The sequence below is a fragment of the Homo sapiens genome, chromosome 9 (genome assembly GCF_000001405.40).
Source record: "Homo sapiens chromosome 9, GRCh38.p14 Primary Assembly".
Taxonomy (NCBI): Eukaryota; Metazoa; Chordata; class Mammalia; order Primates; family Hominidae; genus Homo; species Homo sapiens.
Genome location: NC_000009.12, coordinates 111784263 through 111804652, shown reverse-complemented (window position 1 = coordinate 111804652; position 20390 = coordinate 111784263). Strand labels below are relative to the sequence as shown.

The window sequence follows — 20390 nt, the reverse complement described above, 5'->3', positions numbered from 1 at the left end:
AGAGTAGTGAATATAATTTTATTCTACAGCACTATGTACACTAGATTAGAGGCTGGGAGAACAGCTAGGAGAAAATTACAGTAGTCTAGGAAAGAGGTAGTGGAGTCATAGGGAATACAGAAAAATTTAAAAGTAGAAGGTTCAAAATAAGAGTGTTAGAAAATATTTTAGGATAGAATATAATGAACCACGTTTTAGACACAGAAAATCCATTATAGGAGAGGAAATGAAGATGTACATGACAGGAAAACACCTACGAACTAAATTCTGGAGGAGGTGAGTGGGGATGAGATATTGCATCTAAGGGAAATAGTACTCTGCCTTTTTATCTGTTTGTATTCTGTGATACAGAATGCATTTTTGTCAGTATAAATAATTTGGGGAATAAGATAAGTCACAGAGATTGAAAGAGAATATCTTAGAACGAAAACAGAAAGAAGAGAGTAAGAAAATGCCAAATGAGGCTAAATAGACATTATGAGATAAAAAGAGACAACCTCCCACTCAAGCAGAATGTGAGGTCACCTGCAGGAAATGAGGTAGGTTTCATATATACGACTAGAAGAGTGTGAAGAGTATGGGACTAGATTAGTCTAGATCAAGATTTCTTAAATTTCCTTTAATCAGTAGTAAATACTATTCTTATTTTGGAACACATCATTCTCCGGGAGCATGGAGTCTGTTCTGTTCATTGCAGGGCATTTAGTAACATTCTTGGCCTCTACCTATTTAGATATCAGGACCCTTTCCCCCAGTTTTTTTTTTTTTTTTTTTTTTGAGACGGAGTCCCGCTTTGTCCCCCAGGCTGGAGGGCAATGGCACCATCTCAGCTCACTGCAACTTCCGCCTCCCGGGTTCAAACGATTCCCCTGCCTCAGCCTCCTGAGTAGCTGAGATTACAGGAGTGTGCCACCATGCCTGGCTAATTTTTTGTATCTTTAAGTAGAGACGGGGTTTCACCATGTTGGCCAGGCTGGTCTTGAACTCCTGACCTCGTGATCCGCCCACCTCGGCCTCCCAAAGTGCTGGGATTACAGGCGTGAACCACCACACCTGGCCCTTTTTTTTTTTTTAAATCATTTTATTACTCTTTGTTAACAAACATCCCCAGAGACAGGGGACCAGGGGAACGGGGAGGAGGGGAAGTGGGTCTCCAGCCCTACAACCCCTCCCAACCCACCCCTTTCCCCCTTACATATTTATAATCTATATACAAGCTCTGGGGATGAGGGCAACCCAGATTCCTTGTCCCCTCGGGACCCAAGCTCCTCTGCCCGGCGGGAAGGCTCTTCTCAAGGAGGCCCTGTTGCTCCCAAGGCTTAGGCATCCAGCGGAGGACATCTGGTGGGGAGGCCTGCTGGTGAAGGTCGATGCGCTGGGTGCGGAAGACTCCACCACCGTGATAGAGCCTGAAGACCCTTACTCAGGGGAGGACCACCGTAGGTTGAAGGCGGGGCCTTGAGACGGGAATTGATGCCAGAGAAGGACCTTCCATTTGGGGGAGTATGTGATGACCCAGGACCCCCAAGGTTGCTACTCAGTTTTCAATAATCCTGGAACGGCTTTATTTCCACTGGATGCAACTCTGCTTGCCCCAAGCTAGCGGGGAAGGGCCTGGCAGGTGAAGGCCGCACCCGAGTAGCAGGAACAGGTGGGGGCCGCATAGCCAGGCTGGCTTTCCCCGAGTTTTGACAAGAAAAACATCTTCAGACATGCCCAAATGTCCGCTTGAGGGACAAACTCACCTCCAATTGAGAACCACTGGTCTAGATGTTGTTAGAATATGATAAGGGGCTGTTTAGAAATAGAGATAGGGCCGGGCGCAGTGGCTCATGCCTGTAATTCCAGCACTTTGGGAAGCTGAGGCTGGCGGATCACTTGAGATCAGGAGTTCGAGACCAGCCTGGCCAACATGGTGAAACCCCGACTCTACTAAAAATACAAAATTAGCCAGGCTACTCGGGAGGCTGAGGCAGGAGAATCGCTTGAACCCGGGAGGCGGAGGTTGCAGTGAGCTGAGCTCGCACCACTGCAATCCAGCCTGGGTGACAGAGCAAGATTCTGTCTCTAAATAAATAAATACATAGATAATGTCTTGTTTGAGACTCTATTTCTCACACCTAGAATATTGCTGGCATATACCAACACACTCTCTCTATAACAAATGAAGGGAAATAATGATTGACAACTGGCATTGAAGGTCTAGCTACAAATATATGCTGTGCTAAATATATGCACAGCATATATTTGTAGTGTAACTAACGAGCCTGATTTCCTGGTTTTGCTATTTTCTTCCAAGATGATAAAGAGCCCAGGCACAGAACAGGTGAAATAATCCAGGAAGCCAGAAAACAAAGAAGAAGGTTAAAGAAGGTGGTCAATAGTATATTAAATGATCAATAGATGGTCAGTTGGTGGTCAATAACATTACTGTTTCTAGCTATTCTTCTTTCCTGTAAGAGACAACACAAGTTGTCTTTCTCCTGAAGTTGTACATACTGAGCACATAGTAGGTATTCAAAAATCATGTTAGTTTACATTCTGAGATACAAGATTAAGTCTAAATTAAAAATATAAAATTATGAGAATTGTTTTACAAAATCATTTTATTTATGGGAAAGGTCTACCTTCAGCTTTTCGTAAAATGACTTTTCTTGCATATGAAATTATTATTTTTACTTTTTGAGACAGAGTCTCGCACTGTCGCCCAAGCTGGAACACAGTGGCACAATCTCCGCTCACTGCAACCTCTGCCTTCCGGGTTCAAGCCATTCTCCTGCTTCAACCTCCTGAGTAGCTGGGATTACAGGCGCCCACCGCCACGCCCAGCTAATTTTTTGTATTTTTAGTAGAGACTGGATTTCACTATGTTGGCCAGGCTGGTCTTGAACTGCTGACCTTGTGATCGGCCTGCCTCAGCCTCCCAAAGTGCTGGAATTACAGGCATGAGCCACTGTGCCCGGCCATGAAATTATTATTAATGTAACATCCTTCTTCCCAAGTTTAGTCCAATGCCCATCTCCTTCATTTTTAAATACAAGGCATAAAAGCAATCAAGGATACCTTAAACAACATTAAGCCTTATTTTGGTGAGAGAAAGAAATAATAGTTTTTCCACATTTTATAAGGATAATGTTTTGTTACCCTGGATATTTGAGACATTTATTATAACTTATTCTAGTTTGAATTTGCAGTTTAGACCTTTGGATGTTATTTGTTTTGCAAGTTGGTTCACCTTCCATTAAGTACATAGTGGTGCTATGTTGTGGCTTTTGTGGTCCAAACAGCTAGACTTCCCATTGGTGTGGTTAATCTGGTGAAATAATAAATGAGTTATCTGATCAAATTTTTGCTTCTCTGTAACTTATTTGTGGAAATAATAAAGTACTTTTTAAAATTTCCATACTCTTATAACATTAATTTTCTTAGGGAATAATATTTATATAAATGGTTTATTTTCCCTATCACATTGAAAGAGTAGAGTCAATTTGCTCTCCCCAACTAGCATATTTCCTTGCACATAATATATGCTTAAAAATAATTGATGGATAAATCAATAAGTAAACAACTACAACTCACAGGATAGAAGTCAGAAGAGCTGAGTTCTCGATCTGCCTATGTATTTCTGGGCAAATTGCTTAACTTCACTGAACCATATAATGTGCAGGGTTTTAGGGTAAATATTACCCAGGGAGAGGTGAAAGTATGGCGTTAGTACTTCTACTTTTCCCATGGAAATGGTGACCCAATTACCACTCTTTCTTCTGGGTTACAAAGTGAAGTCTACACATGGGTAAAGTTTACAGCAAGAATCTTAGCTTACCTGAATTTTTCAATGTGTGTAAAAGATCCAATAAGCATACGATATGTGAAATGGTTCATAACCAGAAAAATGTTGAAGGGTTGAACATACGGGACAGAGAAAAGTAATAGTATTTACGGAGATGAATACTGCCAAAACGGGCTAGAATAACATTTGTCTTCTTGTATTTGAAAAGAGGTAATCTACATGAATATGAAATGTTAGGTTTCCCTTCTATACTTGCAAAAATTTATTTACATGCTGTTGCTACCATAGCTCTTCTCCAGCAGTAATTATCCAGCTTAATTAGACTGAATATGTTGTATTAAAATGTTTGCTCTCAGTCTATTGGTGCAAAACAGTCCCTTAATGGCGATCAAAAGATAGTATGTGAGGTTACACCTATAAATTAGCAGCCAGAAGACAATAAATTACTTATGCAACACATTTGTGCAATACTTTTCATTCCATATATCCAGATTTTCTGCATGATCTGGTTTGAGCTAATTTGCAATTCTATCTTGAGCTGATTATCTGCTATATTCATACCATGTTCATTTTGCATAGGCATGTATATGTGTGTGTGTAATATTTCACACACAATTGCTCCTGCAAAAACACTGAAAGCCTACATTTAACAGGAAGTGTAAAAAAATTGATAGTCATTATTTCAAAATGACCTAGTGCCAGATGTTAAGAAGTGAATTAAATTAAATATTCATCACAGTGCTTACTCTGGATAAGGCATTGTGCTACTTACATAAACATAATTAAGACATGGTCCATGGCCCACAATCTCAAGAAGATTGAAGGCTGGTGGGGAAGGCAGACATGAACAAAAAAATTATAATGCAAAACATGAAAAGTGCCCAAAGTGGGATATTAACAAAAATTGTAGGAATGACAAAAGGTAACCACTGATTCTCACTAACAGTGTCAGTGGGAAGAGGAAATATTTAAACTAAAATGTATAGAATAAGTAGGATTTCAACATGTGATCAGAGTACAAAATAAATTAGCAGGAACAAAGACTTAGGAGTGGGAGAATCTCTTTCAGAGAATGGCCAATGGTTCAGGATTCCACAATAAATGGGGTTGAGTGAGTATTGTTCCATGCTAAGGATTTCAGATGTTATGCTGTGGTGACAGCTGAAACAATTTGAGCAGGGAAGTGAATACCACTCAAAAACAGTTAGCTGTTTTAGAAATATCATCCTGGCAGCAGTGTTTAGAATCACCTAAAGAGAAGAAAAATAAGAGCAACTCAGACAAGGATTTGTGAGCTTCTTGGAGGCAAAGATTTGTTTTCCCTATTTTTTGCATCATCAGTGCCTAGTATTGTGTCTGGCACAAAGTATGTTCTCAATAAACATTAAATGTTATTACTATAGCCTTAACAGCACAGCGTGTGAGTACAATAATGAAGTTTGATATTATTACAAGAGATTTCCGTAAATGTGTCGAATTGGTCTGGACAGTAGAGGAATTTTTCTCCTCCTTCCCATCCTCATCTTAGTTTATATTGAAGGGTGTTTTATTTCAACTTGTTTTATTTCCATTTAGGTTCAAAATAACAATGGTGCAAATAATGGTGAATTAAAACTTATAGGGAAAAGCAGTTGTTCTAAGATTCTCATCATATGCACAATTTTAGAAATAATGATGCAGAAACATTATCTACTAAGAAAAAAACATGATTTGGATATGATAAAATTATCTGTAAATATAGAAAGAAAACTATCTTTAGAAATTCACCAAAATAAACACAAAACATTTACAAAACATGGATGACTCAAGAGCAAATATTCCTTTTAGAGAGTGTATGATCTCATTCAGAGTTTGGGCTCTGAAGTCATGCTACTTGGATTTGCAACTCTGTCTCATACTTTCAAGCTCATCTTGGATAAGAGACTTAAGTGGTCAATGCCCCAGGTTTCTCTTATGTAAACTGGAGTTTGTAATATTTGTAAATTTATCTAGCTTATGAGTTGTTGCAAAGTGTTTAGAATAGTGCTTGGCACATAATGAGTGCTAAAAAAAATTTAGCTTTTTTTCTTTTCTTTTTTTTCTTTTTTTTTTTTTGAGACAGAGTCTCACTCTGTCACCCAGGCTGGAGTGCAGTGGCATGATCTCGCTCACTGTAACCTCTGCCCCCCAGAGTTCAAGTGATTCTCTTGCCTCAGCCTCCCAAGTAGCTAGGATTACAGGTGCGTGCCACCACACTTGGTTAATTTTTTTTTTTTTTTTTTTTTGAGATGGAGTCTCACTCTGTTGCCCAGGCTGGAGTGCAATGGTACAATCTCGGCTCACTGTAACTTCTGCCCCCGGGTTCAAGCGATTCTCCCCGCCTCAGCCTCCTGAGTAGCTGGGATTATAGGCACCTGCCACCACATCTGGCTAATTTTTGTATTTTTAGTAGAGACAGGGTTTCATCACGTTGGCCAGGTTGTCCTTGAACTTCTGACCTCAGGTGATCCTCCTGCCTCAGCCTCCCAAATTGTTGGGATTACACACGTGAGCCACGGTGCCCAGCCTGGCAGCTATTTTTAAGTTAGTATTCTGAATGTGGCAGAGATTGCTGTGTATTTCCCAATATATGTTTTTTTCTTATATTAATAATAGAATTTCCAAATAGTAACTATGCACATAACTGTTCAGAATGAACACTGCATCTTCCAGCCTTTGCTGCAACTAGACATCTACTAGATCTCAACATTTTCAAGTATGAAATTGCTAAGAGTTGGTGAGGATATAGAGCAGTACAGACTGTTAAACATTACTGATGGGTGAATCGGTATAATCACTTAGGAAAACAGTTTGGTGTTAGTCAATAAATGTGAAGATATGTATGCTCAATAATCCAAAACATTTTCCTAAATCTATATTCCAGAGAAACATGTATGTGTACTAGGATACATGTACAAGGATATTGTAGCAGCATTCTTTGTAATATACAAGAATTAGAATAATCCAAAGGTCCATCAACAGTTGAATGGATAAATTGAAGTATGTTTATACAACAGGATACTATTGTATCCTATTTAATAATCATCATATATAACTGAAATCATCATATATAATACATCGAATGAAATTGATGAAATTGAATCATCATATACAATAAACATCCACTGAATAGAAGAAGCAAGAACCAAAGTAACACAAACACCAAGATTCAAAAATAGGCAAACTATGTCATTTAGAAATGCATACTTGGGTGAAACACTTTAAAGAAAAGCAAGGCAATGATTACCATAAAGTCAGAATTATAGTAATCTCTAGGTCTAGAGGGAGACTTCCTCTAGGGAGAGTTGTGATTAGAAAGGAAAAGCGGGCTTCTGAAATTCCAATGCTCTGTTTCTTCACTTGAGGGGAGGCTCCATGGACATTTCCTTAAAATAATTTTTATAACTATACATTGTGGTACAGTTTCTGTGTAAACATTATATTTCTATGTGAACATTATATTTTACAATTTAAGTTACATATATATAAAGAGACATTGTGCCTTTGGCCTTTGTTCCTTTACAGTCCTTCCTCCATCCTGCTTCCTGAAACAGAAGCTGCCACCTGAGACCATGAAAACAAGGACCACTACACAGAAATAGCAGAAAAATGAGCTGGTAGGAAGTTAAGACCCAGAGGACTTAGTGGGGCAGAGCTGCCATATCAGTCCTTAACCTTTGTACCTCTGGACTTCATTTACATGAAAGAGAAATATATTTAATATTATTTTGGAATTTTCTGTTATTTATACAGCTAGGCCTGATTTTAACTAATGCACCTTTACACTAGATTTTCAAAAAGACAACCTACCCAATAGGAAAATCACTTGATCTCATACACACACAAACATACAGATGCATACACATATACACACATACACAGCCACATGCATAATTAGACAATTCATGGAAGAAGAAATCCAAAGGATTCATAAACATCTAAAACATGTTTAATCTCAGCAGTAGTCAGAGAAATGCAAACTAAAACAAGATAGAATTTTTCATGCATCAGCCTGGCAAAAATTTCTAAAGAGCAATATATTCAGTACTGTTGGGTATTCAGGAGAATGATGACCCCTTTCTGGTATTGTTAATGTAAACTGCTATACATTTTTGGAAGGAAAAATTGGCAATATTTATTAAATTTGAAATGCTCTTACAATTTCAGCCAGCAAGCCAAAACAAATCTATGCCACAGAAAGTATTCAAGAGCATATGTCCAAGAATTCTTACTGCAGCATTATTTGTCATTGTTTCCAAAAAATTGGAAACAATCTGTTAATCCATCAGTAGTGGAATGTTTAGATAAATCATGGCACGTAGTTACTATAAAATATTATGCAGCTATTTTTAAAAGTAATAATTTTTAAATATAATTAGCCAATCAACGTTGTACATGCATATCTGAATAAATTTGTATGAACATACAACAAAGTGTGAAAAGAATCAACCCAGATTGTTAATATTGGTTACCTGGGAGTTGGGGTGGGAATGGCGATTACTTTCTCTGTATACATCTTTGGATGGTTTTCCTGTTTATAGTAAGGATAAGCATGTGTTATTTTTGTTTTTTGGTTTTTTTTGTTGTTGGTTTTTCTGTTTGTTTGTTTCTGATACGGAATCTTGCTCTGTCCCCCAGGCTGGAATGCAGTGGCATGATCTCGGCTCACTACAACCTCCGCCTCCGGGTTCAAGCGATTCTCCTGCCTCAGCCTCCCAAGTAGCTGGGATTACAGGGGCATGCCACCACACCCGGCTGATTTTTTTTTTTTTTTTTTTTTTTGTATTTTTAGTAGAGATGAGGTTTCACCATGTTGACCAGGCTGGTCTCGAACTCCTGACCTCAGGTGATCCACCCACCTCAGCCTCCCAAAATGCTGGGATTACAGCGTGAGCCACCAGGCCCGGCCAATTTTTGTAACTTTTACAAAGATATTTAATTTAAAATTGATTTTAATAAAAGGTAGACATCCAAGAACACAGGATGATTAATGCACTTCAATGTTAGGTGAATATCTTTAAAACTGATTATTGTCAAACATTAAATCCATATAACCGAAGCAAACTGCACACACCTGTACAAAATAAAGGAAGTAACTTAAGAAAATAAAGTGACTTATCCACTGACATTTCACAATTAGTATTTGAACAATCAACTCAAAAGACACCCATGTGTTAGTAAAGTAAATAAATGCATGTTACTTCTTGCAATCTTCTGGGAAGGAGTTTAATGCCAAGCCGTTTCATGGAAAAGACAGGAGTTAAGAAATATGGAGGAAAGAATAATTATTCCTCATCAGGCGAGTCTGGCGATACCTAAATGTGTGTATGTAAGGGAGTGGCTTTAATTAAGGTATAGAATCCACATGTGCCAATTGAAAAGCAGTATCTTCCTGCCCCTCCTCAAAAGTTCTTCTGCTACCAAGCCATGACCCACACCTAGCCAGACCCCTGAGGCACGTTTGCCTCCTCTCTCTTGCCTTCCTCTTTCCCTGAATCTGTCTGATTGCTAAATCCTCCCACCCTTACCTCTGAAAGGCTTCTGCCCTCGCCCTCCGGCTAACCCTGCCGCGTTTTGCCCGGCCTCGCTAACAACATGGGAGCCGCCACTCCCAAAGAAGTCCGGACTGCTTTGCCGGGTCTTCCCAACCCTTCACAACCAGCTCTTTCTAGCCTCACGCCGACTTCTCCACCGTCACACTCCGCCCAGTGTTATGAGGGTTCTGCTCACTCCCGAGGACCTCGGCGCTGCCCAGGCTGCAGCCTCGAATCCCCACAATCCTTACCTCCCTAGGCTGTGCCCACTCGCGGACGGAAGTGCCCGGAGCCCAAGGGGCGGGGCCTGGTCTGGCCAATGGAAGCACAGAGTGCAGGCTCAGTGGTCACGTGTCCAGCGGGCGGGAATTTTACCCCAGGAAGAGATGCAGGAGGCGATTTTTACCTCAGGTAAGAGCCCTGAGAGGCTGGAGGCAGGAGAGAGGGTGATTTTGAGGGCTGAGGGGAGGAAAAGGTCGTATGGGACCAAAGAAGTATGGCAGCTCAGGAATCTCTGGAAAACGCATCTGTGAGGCCCGGCCGATGTGGCTCTGTAGAGACAAAACCCCAGACCCACTGTCCACTTAACCTGAGAATAGAAGGTGTGAAGGTCTCAGAGATGCTGGTGGGATTTCAGCCCATCAACTAGAAGTTGTATGGGCTAAACAATAAGGGAAAATAGGTGCACCTCGCCTTCTCTGCCATGTTACGTTTTTTTGTCTGTTTTAAGACAGGGTCTCGCTCTGTTGCCCAGGCTGGCGTGCAGTGGCACGATCTCGGTTCACTGCAACCTCTGCCTCCCGAGTTCAAGAGATTCTCCTGCCTCAGCCTCCAGAGTAGTTGGGACTACAGGCGTCCTCCACCACGTCTGGCTAATTTTTATATTTTTAATAGAGACGGGGTTTTGCCATGTTGACCCGGCTGGTCTCGAACTCCTGACCTCAAGTGATCCACCCGCCTCGGCCTCCCGAAGTGCTGGGATTACAGGTGTGAGCCACCACTTCCGGCGGATCTTATTATTTTTTTTTTTTTAAGTGGGTTTTTATGCGAGGGAGTGAAGAAGGCAGAAAGCTCCTGATGCCTTAGGCTGGTGGGGAGAGGTGGGAAGCCAGCCCGAAGATTCACACTCACCTGTGAGTGCTTTTAAATAATCTTGGGGCCTGGCATATGGTGGCTCAGGCCTGTAATCCCAGCACTTCGGGAGGCTGAGGCGAGAGGATTGCCTGAGCTCAGGAGTTCGAAATCAGCCTGGCCAACATGGCGAAACCCCGTCTCTATTAAAAATACAAAAATTAGCCGGGCATGGTGGCACCCGCCTGTAATCCCAGCTACTCGGGAGGCTGAGGCAGGAGAATCGCTTGAACCCGGGAGCTGGAGGTTGCAGTGAGCCAAGATCGCACCATTGCACTCCAGCCTGGGGACAGAGGGAGACTCTGTCTCAAAAAATTATTTGATTAATTAATTAAATCATCATCATCATCATCATCATCTTGGGAAAGCTTACTTCCTGGCCTTGTGCCTGACCTCATTATCGTGTGCATTTCCATTTTGGTCCAGTAGTCCAGTAGATGTTTGTTAGGAAGTAGCACAAAAGAAATAAAATCTTTAGAAAAAGGTAAAAAAAAAAAAAATTCGAGAATTGCTGCAATTCAAAACTTGATAATTTTAAATTACCCTCTCTCTAACCATGATTTTGTTCATTTCCTCATATCTTTGGTTTTAGAAATAAGAGCAATGTATCGTTTTTGCTTCCACCCACCACTATTAGATGGATTCGATATCTGTATTACAATGAAATAAACTTGATAAACGGGATTCTAAGCATGTATATAACATATGGCATCTTATTAAGTAGTACATATTTAGCATGAATTTCAGTGGTTGACTTCAATACAAAAGTAATTATTTCTTAAGGTAATTGGTGAGAGTGATAGAAATACTAGGCTTCACAAGAAAAGAAAAGTTAATATAAATGCTGACAATAAGCTGAATGGGTAAAGTCAGTAAAGTTGAGTTTGTTGTTAACTTTTTGCAATGGCTTTTAGAATGAGACAATCAGTTTTTTCTGAAAGTGCAACACCAAGAAATGGAAGTTCTAGAATCAATATTTGCTTGAAAGATCAGTGACAGGCCGGGCGCGGTGGCTCACGCCTGTAATCCCAGCACTCTGGGAGACCGAGACGGGCGGATCACAAGGTCAGGAGATCGAGACCATCCAGTCTAACACGGTGAAACCCTGTCTCTACTAAATATACAAAAAATTAGCCGGGCGTGTTGGCGGGCGCCTATAGTCCCAACTACTCAGGAGGCTGAGGCAGGAGAATGGCGTGAACCTGGGAGGCGGAACTTGCAGTGAGCTGAGATCCGGCCACTGCACTCCAGCCTGGGGGACAGAGCGAGACTCCGTCTCAAAAAAAAAAAAAGATCAGTGATACACTGGGTGGAAAAGACATAGAGGTGCAATGATTGGAAATATTCTCAGAAAAGTAACCACCAGTAAAATAATGCCCACGTTGGTCCTGTTTAAGAGTGAAAGAGGGTGGCCACACTATATATTCTCCACACCACAGAATCTAACAATATTAAAGACAATTCAGATAACATATTTGTCTCATTTTAATTGGAAAACATATTGTAATATCCAAAAATCCTTCTGAGTCATTAAACAAATAAAATAATTGTGCTCTGGGTTGTTTTTGTTTTTGGTTTGAGATAGAGTCTGGCTCTGTTGCCCAGTTTGGAGTGCAGTGGTGTGATCTTGGGTCACTGCAACCTCCACCTCCCAGGCTCAAGCAATTCTCGTGCCTCAGCCTCTCGGGTACCTGGGACTACAGGTGCACACCACCACGCCCAGCTAATTTTTGTATTTTTAGTAGAGATACAAAAATTTTGTATTTTTGTATTTTACATCATGTTGACCAAGCTGGTCTCAAACTCTTGGCCTCAAGTGATCCACCACCTCAGCCTCTCAAAGTGCTGGGATTACAGGTGTGAGCCAACATGCCTGGCCTGGATTGTTTTAAAAGTTTGTTTTTAGTTTTTTACTAAAAGTTTTACACAGAAGTTACTCTGTCCTAGAGTAACTTCAAAACTGTAATTCCTTGAGTTCTCAAGTAAATGAGAACCATCCCGGACTAGTTAAGCATTCTAGATTTTACTTATTGCTTCATTAGATGGATTTGCTGATTTACCAATATGCCATAGTTGCTTTATTCCAAATGAGCTAGCTACTAGAAAATTCTAACTTTAGGCTTCTTATTTTCTAAGTAAGAGAATGGAAACAGTTTCACAAATTGTTTCCCAATTTTCCAAATCCTCCACTGTTTCAGCACAGAGTTCTGCCCTTGGTTACCCAATTTCAAGACCACTTGAGAAATATGGTTATTCTCAAGACCACTTGAGAAATATGGTTATTCTCAAGACCACTTGAGAAATATGGTTATTCTCAAGACCACTTGAGAAATATGGTTATTCTCAAGACCACTTGAGAAATATGGTTATTCTCAAGACCACTTGAGAAATATGGTTATTCTCAAGACCACTTGAGAAATATGGTTACACCACTCCGGCAATCTTGTAAATTTCAACCTCTTTTGCAACAAAATGATCACATTAAATATATTTCCACCAACCAACTAACAGCTATATGATTTAAACAATAAGAAATTATTCAATTTTCTATCAATATACATTATTTTCATATTAGATTTAAAATTATAGTAATGTATATTATTTTTACCAATGATTATCATTCAGAGCCTTTTTAAAAATGAGTAAACCAAAGTTTTGTGATTGAGATTTTCTGCACTTGACTTGCTATTTTACCAGTGTTTAATTTTAATTTTTGTATTTCCAGATGTTGAAATTTACACTGCTTTGAAAGAAAGAAGATATGTTTTCAGCATTGAAATATCATGCAATAGACTATTTATATGAGGTAGAGTGTTAGTGGCTTACTGTCTATTTACTGAGAATTATGATGTAAGAAGTGTTAACTACATTCAATATAGGTTGAGTATCCCTTATCTGAAATGCTTAGGATCAAAAGTATTTCAGATTTCTGATTTTTTTTCAGATTTTGGAATATTTTTATATATATAAAATGAGATATCTTGGGGATAAGACCCAAGTCTAAACACAAAATTTATTTATATTTTATATACACCTTATCCACATAGATTGAAGGTAATTTTATACAATATTTTAAATAACTCTGTGCATGAAACAAAGTTTGTGTACACTGAACTAACCATCAAAAAGCAAAAGTGCCAGTATCTTCACCACCCATTGGCATCATATTGGCACTCAAAAAGTTTTGGATTTTGGATTTCAAATTTTTGGATTAAGGATGCTCAACTTGTATATGATAATTTTGCAGTAATCCTTAGATTGTTTATTAGTCTAATTACTTTTAGATTTATTGAAAATTATTTTCCACATTTAATGTCTTTAAAATGCCACTTTTGGCTGGGCACGGTGGCTCACGCCTGTAATCCCAGCACTTTGGGAGGCCGAGGCGGGTGGATCATGAGGTCAAGAGTTCGAGACCAGCCTGGCCAACATGGTGAAACCCTGTCTCTACTAAAAATACAAAAAAATTAGCCGGGCATGGTGGTGGGCGCCTGTAATCCCAGCTACTTGGGAGGCTGAGGCAGGAGAATCACTTGAAATCTGGGAAGTGGAGGTTGCAGTGAGCCGAGACTGCGCCACTGCCCTCCAGTCTGGGCAACAGAGTGAGACTCCGTCTCAAAAAAAAAGCCACTTTTGGAAGGAAATTATTAAATTAAAATAATCAAACAATTAAAATGAATCCAAAGCTGTCAGGAGAAAAAAATGGAAACTCTTGACAAGTGTGGGGTGATTTTGCTAACAATCTGGAATGATCTTTCTTGAAATGAGTGGAGAAAAAAGAATCCCAGTTATCTCTATAAAATCATACTAATAGCATGCATTGACCACTTTCTGTGGGACAGATACTTTGCCCTTCTGATGGATTATATTAGGGTGGTGCAAAAGTAATTGCCGTTAATTTGCCATTAGTTAATTAAAAGTAATGGCAAAAGCCACAATTACTTTTGCACCATCCTACTATGATTTTATCATCATAAGTACTTCATGAGGCAGATACTATTATTTTACAGGTTTTACAATTTTATAGGTTAGAAAACTAGTTTCCAGATAAGTTAAATAGCTTTTATAATTGTCAGAGCTAAATTTCAAGCCCAGACACGTTGTTAGGAAACTAACTAGAACAATTGTCATGCAACAGTCTGTTGTTCTTATGATCTTAGTTGACAAGTTAAATTTTTTTCTTTGTAACACTGACCCCATCTACCAAGGAAAAAAATTACTCCAGTATAATAAAACTGTGCTACATTTTACAGGAAATAAGAAAGACATGCAGGCATCTTCTGGTTTTATTATTCCCTCATAACTGAGAGAAGCAAATGTGTAGTTAAAAGATATCCATGGTAGGAATCAAAAGTCATCATAACAAAATATGTGTATTGGCCACTTGCAAAATTAGTCTGTATTCAAACATCCTGAAACTTTTTTTTGCCCACGATATTTTGGTTTCTGCTGGTATCCAACAGTCCGTGATATAATACAAACGCTATACTAATCAATGGCAAATCTTGCAAAAGATGCAGGACTTGGTCAAGTTCATGAAAATGGTGTTGAGGAACCGCTCAAATAACAAGTAAAGATATTATGAAGTTCATGCAAAATTAGATCAGTTGACAGACAAGAGGAAGAGAATGGTTTGAATATCAAAGGAGTCAGAGATGCCTTGAAATTTTAAAATCTTAAAAAAAACTTAAAAAAACTTAAAATCTTCAAACATTTTCTAAAAATATCTTTTTCATGATCAAAGGTGAAGCAATGAGTAGTATCATGCATATCATTATATAATACAGTTTGTGGGAAAATTATAACAAAAAGTAATATTTATAACTATAAATGAAATTTTGTTATAAAACTTTTTATAACTTTCATTTTTTAGATTAAATACTAATCAACTTTTTTTTCCTATTTACTGTGAATCTTTGGTCCTTATTTGATATAAATTACCTTAAGTAATCTTTTTCTCTTTACCACTTATCCTTGGATAATAAGGACTTCTTATTTAATATGTTATAACACCTTCAGCAAACATTAAAGTCTTGAGAATAATGCAAGAAATTATCATTTGTCCAAATACATAGAATAATGAATTATGTGAGAAATTAGAATCACTGGGGAAGGGCTTCATAGAAGAGATATTGTTTAAGATGGGCCTTGAAAGATGAGTTGGATCTTGATAGAGAAGAATAACAGGGCGTTTTCAGAGGTACAGTGTAGACCATGGTGTTAACCAGCGAGTGACCACTGAACGTTAAGGGAGGTAGTGAAGAGACTAGTCTATTTAGAGAGACTAGAGTAATGGAAGATAAAGTTGGAAAGTAAAGGCAGAGCCAAATTAAAGAGAACACTGACTCATTTACAAACTTATTAACTGATTTAACATTCCTTTAAAGAAACAGTTCCCTTTATTAGATATATTTTTAAAAATTAGAAATGAATTTGCTGGTTGTAACAAAGGAAATAATGCAAAGATAAATGAAAGTTAAGCATCCACATTATACTGTTTAGTGAAAAAAAGCACATTGCTAAGTGATATGTAAATGATGTCATCCCGTTTTTTGTCAAGTACTTACACATATATTTTAGCTTAACCTAGAAAAAATATCTGTAGGAAAATACATCAAACTACTACTGATATTACAAGGGGCCTTGACTTTCTCAGTTATGTGGTTCTGTGTTATCTGATACAGGCATACCTCAGCAACAGCAAATATCACAATAAAGTCAGTCATGAGAATTTTTTGGTTTCCCAGTGCATATAAAATTTATGTTTATAATTGGGGGGCTGAGGCGGGCAGATCACCTGAGATCAGGAGTTTGAGACCAGCCTGGCCAACATGGCAAAACCCTGTCTCTACCAAAAGTACAAAAATCAGCCGGGCATGGTGGTGGGCGCTTGTAATCCCAGCTACTCAGGAGGCTGAGGCAGGAGAATAGCTTTTTTTTTTTTATTCTCATTTTTTTGTTTTTGTGTTTTTGAGATGGAGTCTCGCTGTGTCATCCAGGCTGGAGTGCAGCTTGAACGCGGGAGGCTGAGGTTGCAGTGAGCCGAGACCACGCCACTGCACTCCAGCCTGGGCGACAAGAGCGAGACTCTGTCTCAAAAAAAAAAAAAAAAAAAGTTATGTTTATGCTATACTATAGTCCATTAAGTGCAGTAGCACTATGTCTTAAAAAACCATGGGCATAACTTAATTGAAAAATACTTTATTGCTAAAAAATGATAATAAATAATTACCCGAGTCTTTAGTGAGTCATAATCTTTTTGCTGGTGGAGCATCTTGCCTTGAAGTTGACGGCTGCTGACTGATCAGAGTGGTGGCTGTGGCAATTTCTTAAGGCAACAATGAAGTTTGCTACATTGATTCTTTCAGTCACCAAAGATTTCTCTGTAGCATGCAGTGCTGTTTGATAGCATTTTACTCACAGAACTTCTTTGAAAATTAGACTCAATCCTCTCAAACTCTGCTGCTGCTTTATCAACTAAGTTTATGGAATAATCTGAATCCTTTGTTGTCATTTAAACAATGTTTACAGTGTCTTCACCAGGAGCAGATTCCATCTCAAGAAACCCCTTCCTTTGCTCATCCATAAGAAGCAGCTCCTCATCTGTTCAAGTTTTATCATGAGATTGCAGTAATTCAACCACAACTTCAGGCTCCATTTTTAATTCAAATTCTCTTGCTATTTCTATCACCTCTATAGTTATGTACTTCCTCCACTTAAGTCTTGAATCCCTGAAAGTCATCCATGCAGGTTGGAATCAACTTCTTTCAAACTTCTGTTCATGTTGATATTTTGACCTCCTCTGATGATCACGAATGTTCTTAATGGCATCCAGAATGGTTCTCCCTTCTCAAAGGTTTTCAATTGACTTTGCCTAGATCTATCAGAGGAATCACCATCTATGGCAGCTATATCCTTACAAAATGTATTTATTTCTATAAGACCTTAAAGTTGAAATGACTCCTTGATCCATAGGCTGCAGAATACATATTTGAAAACATTAATCTCCTTGTACATCTCCATCAGAGCTCTTGGGTGGCCAGGTGCATTATCAACAAGCGGTAATATTTTTAAAGTAATCTTTTTTTTCCCCCAAAAGTAGGTCTCAACAATAGGCTTAAAATATTCGGTAAACCATGTTGTAAATACATGTGCCATCATCCAGGCTTTGTTATTCCATTTATAGAGCATAGACAGGGTAGATTTAGTATAATTCTTAAGGGCCCTGGGATTTTCAGAATGGTAAATGAGCATTAGCTTCAACTTAAAATCACCAACTGCATTAGCTTCTAGCAAGAGAGTCAGCTTGTCCTTTGAAGTTTGAACACAGACATTGACTTCTTTCTAGCTATGAAAGTCCTCGTTGGCATCTTCTTCTAACAGAAGGCTGTTTTGTCAGAATACACACAACATTTATCAATTAATTTGCTGTCTTATATGGTGCAGTTCATGCCACCCCCAAACAATTACAATGGTAACTAACATCAAAGACCACTGATCACAGATTATCATAACATATAGAATAATAACGGAAAAGTTTCAAATGTTGGGACAGTTACCAAAATGTGACACAGGAAGTGAGCACATGCTTTTGGAAAAATGGCAGAGACAGATTTGCTCATCATGGGGTTGCCACAAAGCTTCAATTTGTAAAAAAAAAAAAAAAAAAAAAAAAATCTGCAGAGCACAATAGAATAAAGCACAATAAAGTGAGGGATGCCTGTTTTTTTTGTTGTTGTTTTTTTGACACGGAGTCTCACTTTGTCGCCCAGGCTGGAGTGCAGTGGCGCGATCTCGGCTCACTGCAAACTCCACCTCCCGGGTTCACACCATTCTCCTGCCTCAGCCTCCTGAGGAGCTGGGACCACAGGCGCCCACAACCACGCCCGGATAATTTTTTTGTATTTTTAGTAGAGATGGGGTTTCACCGTGTTAGCCAGATGGTCTCAATCTCCTGACCTTGTGATCTGCCCGCCTGGGCCTCCCAAAGTGCTGGGATTAGGTATGCCTGTTTTTTATAAGGAGCATGTATTACTTTTAAAGAAAAATCATATAAGTTTCAAAGTATAGAGAATTTTAATATATTCTGAATATTGATAAATAGTACATGTTAAAAGATTTTCTAATCTTTCTTTCTTCCACAGAATGTGGTTAGAAAGAAGTTTTACAGAGATGCTTTATTGCTTCGAATCCCTTCATGTTTATATCAAGATGAAAGTTACCATGTAGCAGTTACTGATAATAAATTTAGGAGGCCATGGACGAGAGGTATGTTTGTTTTCATTTCTTAAAAATGTGTTTTAAAAGCCATTTCAGAGTTTAGCACAGCAAATTATTAAGAATATGCAATGTTTTACTAATTAAAAACTCATTGCATCTACTCATGTCAGAATTCCAAGAAGTTAACAACTTAGTATTTTATTATAGAATTTAGGTAACTAAATAAGGAATTGGAAAGCTTATATTTGATATGAATAAACCAAATAAAAGATATGTAGATGATGAAGACTTAAAATAGTCTAACATTGTAAACATTTGTTTTATTATAATAGAATTTTTCTTGACTATCTGAGGCCTACTTCAAGTTGTAATGGCACACCGAATATAAAATTATTTTTAAGCATATATGTATAAAATAGTTTTTTGTTTGTATCAAGTCATGGACTAGTAAAGAAGTAGCATCCTTGGAGGAGTCAAGTCGGTTAACAGCATTTACTTGGTATATATTATGTACCAAGCACTGTTATAAGTACTAAGGACACAGTACTTAAAAGACATAGAAGTAGTCTCTGCTCTCAGTGGGTTTTAGACTGGTAAGGAGGATACAGCAACAAAACCATTAAATATATAAACTAGTATCTGATATTGATAAATGTATAGAGAAGAGACAGTAATGCTAAGTGATATGAAATTGCGGGAGTAGGGAGTGCTATTTCCTAAGATAGTTAGGGAAATGTCTCTCTCAGGAGGAGGACATTTGAGTTGAGACCTGAATCATGGGAAAGCAACAACCATGAAAAATATGGGGGAAAAGCCCTTCAAGCAAATGCAAAGTTCCTGACTCAAGAACGAACTTGATGTGTGTAAGGACCAGAAAATTAAGCTATTGTGACTGGGTAATGAAAAAGGGACTGAGAAGTAGGCAATTTCCGAATAAGGCTTTGTAGGCCATAACAGTGAGTTTGTTTGTTTGTTTATTTTGATTACAGCTGCAATAGACTGAATGTTTGTGTCCCCCCAAATTTATATTTGAAGGTGGGGCCTTTGGGAGGTGACTAGAACATGAGGATGGAGTCCTCATGAAAGGGATTAGTACCCTTATAAAAGAGACCCCAAAGAGCTCCCTTGACCTTTCTGCCATGTGAGGCCAGCAAGAAGACAGCCACCCATGAACCAGGAAGTGGGCCCTCACTAGACACTGAATCTTCTGGTGCCTTAATCTTGGACCTCCCAGCCTCCAAAGCTATGAGAAATGAATGTTTGTTGTTTGAGCCACCGAGTCTATGATATTTTTGTTATAGCTATATAGACTGACTAAGACAATTGTGGATATGGGAAGTCACTGGACAATTTTAAGAAAGGGAATGATATAACCTGATTTATGCTGTAGAAAGATAGTTATGATTGTCTGGAGAATAGAAAGGGTGGGGATTTAAAAGTCAAGAGGAGAGACAGAGAAATCTATCAGGGAGCTATTGTAGTAGCCCAGAATCTAAACTCTGGATAAAATATTACAGTGTCTTGGACAAGGCTTATAGTAACGGAGATGTGAGATGTACTTAAAATCTAGCTTATTTTACAAATTGTCAACAGTGAGGGGGTCACAAAATAGAAGAATAAAGATTTTCTTCTAGGTTTTTGACCTGAGAAACCAGGTAGATGACAGTGCCATTTCCTAAAATAGGGAAAGGCTTATA

General features: G+C 38.6%; 1 protein-coding gene and 1 long non-coding RNA gene across 10 annotated transcripts in view; one reads left to right on the top strand and one right to left on the bottom strand.

The window, feature by feature from the left end:
• Nucleotides 1-2588: 2588 nt before the first annotated feature.
• On the bottom strand, nucleotides 2589-8435 carry LOC124902249 (uncharacterized). Its single transcript, XR_007061734.1, has 2 exons — nucleotides 8281-8435; nucleotides 2589-5040 (listed from the first exon to the last, which is right to left on the bottom strand). It is a non-coding gene; the product is annotated as an uncharacterized LOC124902249 (long non-coding RNA).
• A 1280-nt stretch (nucleotides 8436-9715) lies between these two features.
• Nucleotides 9716-20390, top strand: part of SHOC1 (shortage in chiasmata 1) — a 108767-nt gene continuing 98092 nt past the window's right edge. For all 9 annotated transcript variants that reach the window (NR_109816.2, XM_017014340.2, XM_006716975.3 and 6 more), the window contains exons 1-3: nucleotides 9716-9753; nucleotides 13199-13279; nucleotides 18618-18741. Coding sequence is in view for 8 of the 9 variants with exons in the window: in XM_017014340.2 (XP_016869829.1) it covers nucleotides 13235-13279; nucleotides 18618-18741 (169 nt within the window). In the remaining variant the exon portion in view is untranslated. The remainder of the gene's footprint in view (nucleotides 9754-13198; nucleotides 13280-18617; nucleotides 18742-20390) is intronic.